Source organism: Homo sapiens, chromosome 2, assembly GCF_000001405.40.
Source record: "Homo sapiens chromosome 2, GRCh38.p14 Primary Assembly".
Lineage (NCBI taxonomy): Eukaryota > Metazoa > Chordata > Mammalia > Primates > Hominidae > Homo > Homo sapiens.
In genome coordinates this window covers 164,983,826-164,995,700 of record NC_000002.12, presented here as the reverse complement: position 1 = coordinate 164,995,700, position 11,875 = coordinate 164,983,826, and the positions used below count along the sequence as shown (strand labels likewise).

The 11,875-nt window shown below is 40.6% G+C and overlaps 2 annotated features.

Annotated features, from left to right (window-relative positions):
- Positions 302-802: an enhancer, noted in NCBI's record as "H3K27ac hESC enhancer chr2:165851409-165851909 (GRCh37/hg19 assembly coordinates)". NCBI's record gives its function as "activates a minimal SCP1, AML or CMV promoter by ChIP-STARR-seq in naive H9 embryonic stem cells {active_cell/tissue: H9 hESC(naive)}" and the evidence as "EXISTENCE:reporter gene assay evidence [ECO:0000049][PMID:30033119]".
- Positions 11,457-11,644: a silencer, noted in NCBI's record as "fragment chr2:165840567-165840754 (GRCh37/hg19 assembly coordinates)". NCBI's record gives its function as "represses an EF-1alpha promoter that drives an FKBP-Casp9 reporter gene in an ReSE screen in HepG2 liver carcinoma cells {active_cell/tissue: HepG2}" and the evidence as "EXISTENCE:reporter gene assay evidence [ECO:0000049][PMID:32094911]".

Here is an 11,875-nt window from a genome sequence, read left to right as displayed (position 1 = left end):
GGGTCTTCCTGTGTTGCCCAGGCTGGTCTCAAACTTCTCGCCTCGAGGGATCCTCCCACCTTGGACTCCCAAAGCACTGGGATTACAGGTGTGAGCCACCACACCCAGCTTACGTTAATTTCTTCAAATAACACATTTTTATAGGAAAAAATTATCGTGGGGTTTTATTGATATAGGAGTTAAGAAGAAATTAGGCAGATAGTGAGGGTACAGGAGTCCTTGGTAAGGTTTTCCTTTTAATTAAAAGCAGCCCTCAAATCATTTCTTTTCCTAACAAAGAGCAGACTGTAAAATGAAGTTGCAGACATAGGCAAGCAAGGTGGAAGCCTGCACATGCAAATGCCTGAAGTTGTGCCAATAGGAAAACACTACCTGGAACTGAGAGGTGACAGCGTGCTGGCAGTCCTCACAGCCCTCGCTCTCTCTCTGCGCCTCCTCGGCCTGGGCTCCCACTTTGGCGGCACTTGAGGAGCCCTTCAGCCCACCGCTGCACTGTGGGAGCCCCTTTCTGGGCTGGCCAAGGCCCGAGCCGGCTCCCTCAGCTTGCAGGGAGGTGTGGAGGGAGAGGCGCCAGCGGGAACCGGAGCTCCGCGCGGCGCTTGCGCGGGCCAGCTGGAGTTCCTGGTGGGCGTGGGCTTGGCGGGCCCCGCACTCGGAGCAGCCGGCGGGCCCTGCCGGCCCCAGGCAAGGAGGGGCTTAGCACCTGGGCCAGCAGATGCGGAGGGTGTACTGGGTCCCCCAGCAGTGCCAGCCCACCGGCGCTGCGCTCGATTTCTCACCGGGTCTTAGCTGCCTTCCCACGGGGCAGGGCTCGGGACCTGCAGCTTGCCATGCCTGAGCCTCCCACCCCCTCCATGGGCTCATGTGCGGCCCGAGCCTCCCCGACGAACGCCACACCCTGCTCCACGGCGCCCAGTCCCATCGACCACCCAAGGGCTGAGGAGTGCGGGCCCATGGTGCGGGACTGGCAGGCAGCTCCACCTGCAGCCCCCGTGCGGGATCCACTGGGTGAAGCCAGCTGGGCTCCTGAGTCTGGTGGGGACGTGGAGAACCTTTATGTCTAGCTCAGGGATTGTAAATACACCAATCAGCACCCTGTGTCTAGCTCAGGGTTTGTGAATACACGAATCGACACTCTCTATCTAGCTACTCTGGTGGGGCCTTGGAGAAACTTTGTCTAGCTCAGGGATTGTAAACACACCAATCGGCACTCTGTATCTAGCTCAAGGTTTGTAAACACACCAATCAGCACCCTGTGTCTAGCTCAGGGTTTGTGAATGCACCAATCCACACTCTGTATCTAGCTACTCTGGTGGGGCCTTGGAGAACCTTTGTGTCCACACTCTGTATCTAACTAATCTGGTGGGGAGGTGGAGAACCTTTGTGTCTAGCTCAGGGATTGTAAACGCACCAATCAGCGCCCTGTCAAAACAGACCACTCGGCAGTGGCAACCCGTTCGGGTCCCCTTCCACACTGTGGAAGCTTTGTTCTTTCGCTTTTTGCAATAAATCTTGCTACTGCTCACTCTTTGGGTCCACACTGCTTTTATGAGCTGTAACACTCACCGCGAAGGTCTGCAGCTTCACTCCTGAGCCAGCGAGACCACGAACCTACCAGAAGGAAGAAACTCAAGAACACATCCGAACATCAGAAGGAACAAACTCCAGACGCGCCACCTTAAGAGCTGTAACACTCACCGCGAGGGTCCGCAGCTTCATTCTTGAAGTCAGTGAGACCAAGAACCCACCAGTTCCGGACACAGAACTACGTGTTCAAAACGAGAGCTCTATCTTCCCTTCTCTTTGCCAGCCACATGTACAGTAAGGAGTAGACAAGATGGCGCTGAGCAAGTGGAAAGCCCATTTGCATAAGATTAGGGTGGGGCAACCAGCCTTCCCGGCGCCGTGTAAACTTCACACCTGATCAAACCAATTTGTGGCCCCCACGTAAATCAGACAGGGACTCCTCAAGCCTGCCTCCCTGCTGCTGCCCGCTTTTCCCTTTTGATCTCTCTCTGGCTCTGACTCTGTCTCTGTCTCTCTCCCCTCCCCCGTCTCACCTCTCTCTCACAAGAGATTTTATTATCATCCAATGTCGTTCAGGAAGAGGATCATTTATTGCGTACTTTTTACAAGTTCAGCACTGTGCTAGCCTCTGTGGGGATTCCCAAAACAGGAAGTAGACAGGTGCCATAGGATGCGCAGAAGGAAGCGCTGGTGTAGGTGTGGTCCACAGATGACTGGAAGGGAAACGGAGCTTGCATTGGTGTCATTACCAACAGGTTTGTGATATGTATACATTTCTGGATGCAGTATGGTTAAACAGGCGCATTTAAAAGAGCCCCCACCCCAGAGGGTGAAAATATAGACCAAAAAAAAAGTTCATTAAAAAGCAAATTTTCACTAGTGGCTCTGTAACTATGAATTTACATTTTAAATTTCCTGATAACTTTTCAACCACAAAGATTGAGAGCCTGGCCAAATTATTTGGTTCTCTGCCCAAAGATTGGTAATAGAGTCACGTAGAATATTTTTTTCTCCTCTTTAAAGATGAATCAGAGGATGCTGGGTTTCACTGAACATTTCTGAAGATTTTCCACATCACAAAGCCCTCCAGGCACAGCTCAGCATTTTGTAGAACAGCGTTAAATCTTAAAAGAAGTAAAATGCTGCCCTCTCGTGGCGGATATACAAAACTGATGAAAACAGTATTCCTTCCTGTTATTGAAAAGCAGCCAAGTCCAAAGCAGAGAGCAGTATTTAGATTTTAAATGAGTTTGCAAATAAAAAGACTAGAGTACCTTAATATGACGTGAGTAAACCTTTCAGGAAATAAAATTTTAAATCAGATCAGATCAAAGTGTTCCAAAATGGGGCTTAATACTGTAATTACCACCATGACTCTGCATATATGCAGATTTTCCCCCAAGGAGTTCAAACTTTGACTCAAAATCCAGTAATCTTGAATCCTGGTCTAATCCTTACCATCTAAAGAAAGCACACTTAGAGTAATTGTTCAATAGAAAATTTATCAGGTCCTTCCTCATCCTGCCCCCAGCCAGATGTGTTCTCTTCCTGCTCTGAATTCCAATAAGACATAATGCTACATGTATATGGGTCTCTTTTTCTGTCGGCACGTAATAGTTTTAGAACCTTTGTGGCCTCTAAGATAGGCATGACACGTGGTGCATGCTTAAGAAATGTTTGAATAAATGAATGAATAAATAAATAGGAATTAAATGAATAAATGTATAGCTATGATAAATATTCCCTATTTCCCTTATTTAAGCAAAAAAAAATTACTATTTGTTATGCAAATACCAATGCCTGCAAGTCTTGTTGCACTGGCTCAGAGGCCATGCAACATATCTTTGAAAACAGTCAGGAAGGCAAGAGTGGCTCCAAATCAAGCCTGGGTGCATTGCTGTACTTTGTGGACATCAGGAATGGGCACTCTGGCTCTGCCTACTCCTGGATAGGCCCTACAAGGATTATACAGATTCTGACACATAAAAGCAAGGGAGAAGAATACCTGAGAAGCAGATTAAGGCAGGGTTCCTCACCCCACTGCCCACAGGAAATTCTCTTCAGTGGGCCACAGAGCTAAATGTACAAGCCAAATGCTTCCTGAAAGGTTGGTGCAGATGTAGTAAACAATAGCCTATGTAAGCACCACTGAACCACATCAGTCTAGAAGTTTCTGTTTCTGATTCAGGCACTGTTCCCAGGTCAGGTGCTCTGTGAGTGCTAGCTGGGAGTGGTGGTGTTGGTGGTGGTTGAGATATAACAACACATAGCAATATTAGATGCCTATTAAGTTCAGGCTCTGAATGACTCCTGCTTGCCCTTGGACAAGCAAGCTGGGAATGTGTGAATGTCAGCAGTGGGTATTTATACTTGGCTCCAAACTTCTCCAGACAAGTTCTTACTTGTTCCCCTCCACCAGTGGTTGCTTGAGCCTTTCTGCTGTTTAGCCTCATTCCTTTAAGCTGTGAACCCAGACTCCTCTTTTGAGTCCTTTTATGGATAACTTGATTCAGTCACAATGCAACAGACTCCAGGACAACTTTTTTTTTCTCTATCTCTGGCTCCCAGAACCACAGCATAAATTTAAAAAAAAAAAAAAAGGACTCCCTTCTGTGCACTTCTTGGGCACTGTGACAGCTGAAGGACAAGCCTGCCTTTCAGCCAGGATTCCATTTCCCTAGAGAATATTAGGTATTGGATGAGATAGGAGATGAGAGGTAAAAATGAACAGTGGCACACACACACACACACACACACACACACACACATGCTTCTAATTGCCAAACTTCTCTAAAGGATGCTTGAGACCTGTCCCACTTTCTTTAGCATTTACTAATTCCTTGACTTCCTCTGACCACAATACCCAGGCCTCTCTCTTATGGAGCTCTAGTGGCCCCCCTTGCTGAACATCATGGTCTTCTCTCAGTTCTTATTCTCTTTGACATCTTGCCAACATCTGACTTTTCTGACATCCTCAATTGCCTGTTCCTGGAACAGTCTTCTGATTTTCCTCCCAGGACTAATCACAAGTTAGTAAGAATCCAAGCAACTTTTATTTCTTTCATTGATTTATTTATTTTTTGAGACAGAGTCTTGCTCTGTTGCTCAGGCTGCAGTGCAGTGGTGTGATCATGACTCACTGCAGCCTCAAATTCCTGGGCTCCAGCAATCCTGCCATCTCAGCCTCCCAAGTAGCTGGGACTATGGGTATGTGCCACCATACCCAACTTTTTTTTTTCTTTTTTTTTTTTTGGTAGAGGCAGGGTCTTAATATGTTGCCTAGGTTGGTCTCAAACTCCTGGGCTCAATCAGTCCTCCCACCTCAGCTTCCCAAAGCACTGGGATTACAGATGTGACCACCACACACAGCCCATTTCTTTTAAAGCGTCCCAACATTTCCATATGTTTTAAATATTTATTGCTTCTAAATTAAAAGTTTAATACATATTCACAAAATATAGAGACATGATCTCATTTAGAGATCCAAATGTGAAGCTTGTGTGACTGTGAAGGCCCGCTGTGATGGGGCCATTGTAATAGGTTTCTCTTACCTCTCTACCTGGCTTTCACATCTCCTTCAATAACTTGCTTCCTCTTCTTGCTGCAAGACTGGGTCCTCAATCCCAATCTCTCTCCACTTACTTCCCCTTTGCCTACCAATCCTGCCTTCTAGCACCAGATGGTTTTTTGTTGTTGTTGTTTTTTGTTTTTTAAGATAGAGCTTCACTCTTTTGCCCAGGCTGGAGTGAAGTGGTGCGATCTCAGCTCACTGCAACCTCCACCCCCCAGGTTCAAGCAATTCTCCTGCCTCAGTCCCCCGATTAGCTGGGATTACAGGTGCCCACCACCACACCCAGCTAATTTTTTGTGTTTTTAGTAGAGATAGGGTTTCATCATGTTGGCCAGGCTGGTCTCGAACTCCTGACCTCAGGTGATCCACCCGCCTCGGCCTCCCAAAGTGCTAGGATTACGAGCATGAGCCACCACACCCAGCCCAGTTGTCATTTTTATACTAATGACTACTCAATTGATGTACCAAACCAAACCTCTCATCCAAGCCTGGATTCCAATACCTCTAGTTGTCTACAGAACATCTAAATCTTACCATTTGCAAACTGAACACATCATCCTCCCTCTGGTTGGCAAACTAGCTTTTCTCTTTCTCCTATCTCAAATCTTATCTCAGCAGAAGCCAAGGGTTCCATATAGGGCTATCTGTAGAGAAGAGGGTGCTCATCCTATTTCAGCTTTCAGAATTATGATGGGTATGGTGGTCTAAGACAGAGAAATCAATTTGAAGGAATTTGACAGAATATTATAGCTAGTTATAATGGGATGGATAGTAAGCTGTTAGACCTTTCCAGAAAAGAAGTTCTCGAAGTAAAAGGCAGAGTTCTGACCTTTTATATAGAAACTGGTGCAATGGTTATGGGTGGAGGGGCAGCTGTTAAGGATGTCCAGTTTAGACATCTCTTAGCAAACTGGAAAGCTATCTCCTTCATGCTTATACTGAAGACCCATTTGTTAATTACATGCATGTTGTCTTAGTCCATTTGTGCTCCTGTAACAAAATACCACAGACTATTTTATAAAGAAAAAAATGTACTTTCTCACAGTTTCAGTGGCTGGAAAATATAAGGTAAGGCTCTAGGCATTTGATCTAGTGAGGGCCTTCTTGCTGCATCCTCACATGGCATAAGGTGGAAAGGCAACTAGACAAGCACTGTGTGACGCCTCTTTTATAAGGGCCTTTTAACTCCATTAGCCAGGAAGAGACTGTAAGGCCTAATCACCTCTTAAAGACCATCTTAATACCTTAATACCGATCTCAATCACTTCCTAATACCATCATATTGGCAACAACTGAACTTCGGAGGGGACACATTCAAATCATAACATATGTTGTAATAAGCTGCAAAATGTAAGTTTTAATAGAATAAACTTTTGTTTACCTCTATCATTTATTCACTCTATGAGTTTTTTTGTAATAAATTTTTATCCCAATATTATAACGATCTCTCAGGAAATCTCTTTATGGTCTGAGATCATCTGACAGCACCATGTACAATCTGTCCTTCTCATAGGAGCAGATGAAATCAACCAGTGGTATTGATGGTTATCTTTTCTTAAGCCGGTTATTGCAGGCATCTGTCTGTCTCTTTGTGGAAGACTCCATGCACATTACCACAGGAAGGAGATCTTGTGATGTAGGCAACTTCCTGGTTAAAGCTCTTGTCAGTTTAAACATGATTACTTACTTTCTGACGTTTGCACTAAGTAGAAAAATATGGTACTTAGAGTCCTAATGAGTATCAACTTTAACCTACCCCAAATGAGGTAAGATCATTGGATATCAGAATTGGAACACAATTTATGTCCTGAAAAAAATAATGAGAAAGATCAAATAAGAGTTATGTAATCTTACTGCAACAACCTAGCTGTAGGAAATAGACACCCTCTATCATCTGCCCCAAAAGATGGAGTGGTCTGAGCCACTAATCCAATTCTAGGGATCCAGATGATTCAGGTAATTCATGAATCCCATCTTCAGACAGAAGGCAAGAGCAGTGCATGAGATATCTCAGTAGCATGATATTCCATTTTATAGGAGCTAAGGGGAAATTGAAACTCTGTGTAGAGTCTCTGTCTCTTAGTGTACTGAAATTTCTCTTTCATTGTAATAAAAAAGATCTGGCCCAAAGGAAAAAAAATTGTCAAAAATTTTGGTATTTCTCAAGGCACCTGAACAAATATACCATAGCCATCTAGGGTTATATTGTCACCACCAGTTGTGTAATTAAAACAAAAAAAACCTTTAAAATTCAGTATCAGAAAGATATAATTAAGAAGAAGAATATCCTTTTATGTATGACAAATCAGCATGTAAATACTTAAAGACTAAAGCTAAGTTATTTTTAAACTATTCATTTTTAAATGATTTGTACAAACATTCCTCTAGGATATGACATTTAAAAATAAAATGTGATTCTATTTATAAAGTCTGTATTAAACAGAATGCTGTATTAAATAAATATATCTAATATGAATGGAATTAGAACTAAATTTTAGTTTGGACAATAGATATTTGTCCAAAAAACTTAAGATTGCAGAAAAGGCTACAATGGCTGATTTCCTTTGGCAAATGGTGGCATACTGCAAGAAAATTTTATCAGAAAATTTTTGTTTTGTCCTTATTTTAGCCTAAGAAAGTTTATAATTCAATTCCCCTTACAAATATATCATAATAAAGATTAGGTGAATTTACCTTGTAAGAGGAAAATTGGAAAAGAGGAAATATCATATAATTTGTAACAACATTTGCAAGGAAAATTCTATAATTAATATATGCCAAATATATTTAGTGAAACCAGAGTTTATTGTTTACCATGCAGCTAGAAGTCCTAATATATTTTTCTTTGCTCTTTTTTTCCTGTTTTTAATATAATCTGTTCCTAAAAACTGCCCAAGTCTTCACCAGCCAACTTAAGGTGATTCCGTGACACCCCATTAAGTTATCATTTATCCTCATTGATCTCATCACCTGCAAACTTTTCAAAGATACTGATACTCTATCTGTCCTTCCTAAATTACCATAGTTCCCTTCATCCCAGTTTCTACTACTACAAGTCGTTGGAAACTTGCTTATGAAGATTGTTACTAATAACCTAATCCCCAAATCAAACCACCTTTCTCTCTCCCTTTATCTCAGTCAAGTTTAATCAATATTTGGCCCTATTAATGTTCCTCTTTTTCCTTGAAATTTATTCTTTAGGTGTTTTATTCTAGCTTATCCCCCACATTTCTTTTTGACAGCTCATTTTCAATCTGTACCTCTTCTACACACTAAGGGCTTTTCTTTGGTTCTGACTTTTCCTCTTATTCACAATTGACAGTTCACATGACCTCATTCTGTATTTCCCCTCTCTCATTTTCCCAGGCTTAAACACTTGGAGAGATTTTCTCTTAACACTCCCCTAAAAATGTGAGTTTATCTCATGGAGATTTAATAAAGCAAATGCTCTCTCCACAAAGAGATATCGTTGGACTGCTAAAAATTCAACACTGTTCTCAACTAAATTTTCTCCATTTATATTATTAAGACAGACTAATTAAACCCACAGTTCTCCACAATGACAACTGCCCTTACAGATTTGCTTTAAAAAAGTAGTCCATATATTCACTAAAATCTAGGGGATATTTAATAATATGAGTGCACCTCTTTTCTCCTTTAGGATATGGACAGGAACTTTCATTCAAAGTCAAGGCACATGCCTAAAATATTGCAGTAAGACAGTCTTCTCATTGTCTGTAGCATATACAGACACTGCTTACTTCTCCCCTTAATTCACTCTTAGATACTGAACTAACACTATGTTAAAGCAGAAATATGCAAGAATGTACTCTTAATAAATAAGGTCCCTGCTTAGTTGTGGTGGTATAATGTGAGGGGAAACTCAGGCAGTAAACAAGATCAGAGAAAAAAAGGAGGCAAGACAATCATAGTTGACAATAGATCTGTTCTTAGTTTCAGTTCTGTCACCAATATCTCAGAAACCCAGAAACAAAGGATGTATGGCTAATTCTACCTGAGAATTTCAGTGTGGCTCCATTTTGATGCAATCAAAACTTGAACTCATTTTCCAAGATTGAAAGCAATAGTCCCCCTACATACTACATATGGCTGTCATTGTCATTGTCATTTCCCCTTAAAATCATTTCATACCCCATTATATGTTCTATTTATGAATACCTTCCTTGGTCCATGAATCTGCCTTCACTCTCCGTATTCTTCTTCAGACCTAGACAGTATGCTTTTAAGAACTGAGTAACTTCATTCAGGATATGGCCACTACTATGAAGATGACTTTTGGACAAAGGACTGGTTTTAGGAATCCTGAAAGTTTCTGGGAGACTTTACCAGTCTTATTTCTGCAAGTCATGATTACCACATATTTTGTAGCTAAACAATTGCTGTTCCTACACAGTAAGATCATCATCTTGGTAAGTGACATTTTCATCAGTATGGGTTATTCTTTCATTCCATAATATCCTATCACCCAGACTTGGCCTTCGGGTTCTGGTTCACCCTTAGATATTTATGTTTTACGTTCTCCTGTGACAGTTAATTTATCTTGAGCATATCTCAGTCCCCAAAAAAAATGCTCTAATTTTTTTATATTTTTAAATGACTGTCACAGCAGCATTATTCAGAATAGTTAAAAAGTAGAAGCAACCCAAGTATCCATCAGCGAATTCGGATTAAAAAATTCTGCAGGCAACCAAACTTTTATTCAAGTGAGAGGAAATCAGAAAATGCAAGTATCCATTTACCATTCATGGGGGAAATAATTCTTTGATACTTAAGAAAATACCACAGCTGACTAAAAGAATAAATAAAACTATTAAATCTCAAGAGGTAATATGATATTAAAAATTGATTATGTATACTGCACCCATTAAAATTAACATTAATAAATAATTACTAATTTTTAACATAAATATGTTACATAATTCTTGTATCAAATATATTTCTTGGGAAAGAAAATACACAAAATAAAAAAATAATATTTTTTATACCAGGAATGTGACCTAAAAAACTAATTAATTAATACATGTTGAGCAGGAGTAGAGAAGAGGAAAGTAAAAGTGTGATAATTCTCTTACATAGGAGAATCAGTAACAGTCTTCCATTCTTATAATTGGTTGAAAATTACATATATATGCTAATCTCTGTGTATATGTATATTTTATATACATATAATATGCATATGTGAATATAATATATGTATATATAACTGTAGAACAAAAATGTGCATTCTATAAATGGGAATATAGAATAAAATTTGTAGGAAAAAATAACTAATAGGAAAAAAGAAGAGCTACAATGACATATAAAGTATAGGGAAGAAGAAAACGGTAAGTATAAACCACAAAGAATAAAATAAAATGGCAAAATAAGACCATACCTGACTTAGCACAGTGAATATAAATGGCTTAAAAGGTACCAATAAAAGGCAAATACAATCAGATTATATCAAAAGGTAAAAATCTAAATTTACTAATTATAAGAAACACATATATAAACAAATTGACAAAGAAATGTTGAAAATAAAGGGGTTCAAAATCTTCCCTAGTCAAAAGGAATATAGAAAAGTTAGAGGAATAGAGAGGTAGAAATGTTAGAATCAGATACAGCATCATGTATCATGGCAAAAAATATGAAATGGATAAAATTATTATTATACACCTGTAAAAGTTACAATGCACAGTGCAAACATAAGCATCACAAACAATCCATACACTGAGGAAATACATAAAATAAAAACTGTTAGGAAGGAAAGGAAACTTTACCTAAAACTTTAAGATAACTGTAACAGATACATCGAGGAGATAAAACAATTTCAAGAATGACAAAATATCTTTAATAGGCATGACTAAGCTTTACACTATGCAGAGAATATGCCTTTTTCTGGAACATCCACGGAATGAACAGTAAAATTCACTATAATGGTTTTAATAAAGTGTGAGCATTTTGACTCATCCACCCCAAAAGGGCAAACTCTTTCCACACTCATTGTATAGCTCAGGATGTTAGGAATTAACCAATATTCTTTAGTCCTCGAAAGATCTTAACCTTGAAGACACTCAGAGACAACATACAAATAAAACCCACACCAGCCTCTCTGTGTGCTTTATCTGACTGTAGTAGGCTGAATAAAGGCCTCCAAAGATGTCCCCATTCTAAGCCCTGGAACCTGTGAATGTTACTTTACATAGCAAAAGGGACTATGCAGATGTGACTAAGAATCTTGAGATAGGGAGATTATCCTGGGGATTATCCAGGTGGGCCCTAAATGCAATTTCAAGTGTCCTTATAAGAGAGATTGAGAAGGAAACTTCACCACAGAGCAGGAAAAAAATCAGTGTGACCATGGAAGCAGAGATTGAAGTGATGTGGTCACAAGGCAAGGAATGCTGGCAGCCACCAGACACCAGAAGAGGTGAGGAACGGATTCTCCCCCGAACCTCCAGAGGGAAGACAGCCCTACTGTCACCTTGATTTTAGTCCAGTGATGTTGATTTCAGACTCTGGCCTCCAGAACTGTGAGTAAATAAATGTGTGTTGTTTTAATCCACTAAATGTGTGTTTTAAGCCACCTACTACAGGAAACTAATACTCTAATCTCCAGCTGGTTTCTCTCTCTGGGACTCTCCCTGTATCAGCAATGGTACTATCACTTTTCCTTGTCACCCAATCACTATGAACTTCTTCCCCTCTCACACCCATACCCAAAGTAACGGGTAGTGGGAATGGGTGGATGTTCATCCCACCTCTTTTTTTAATGAA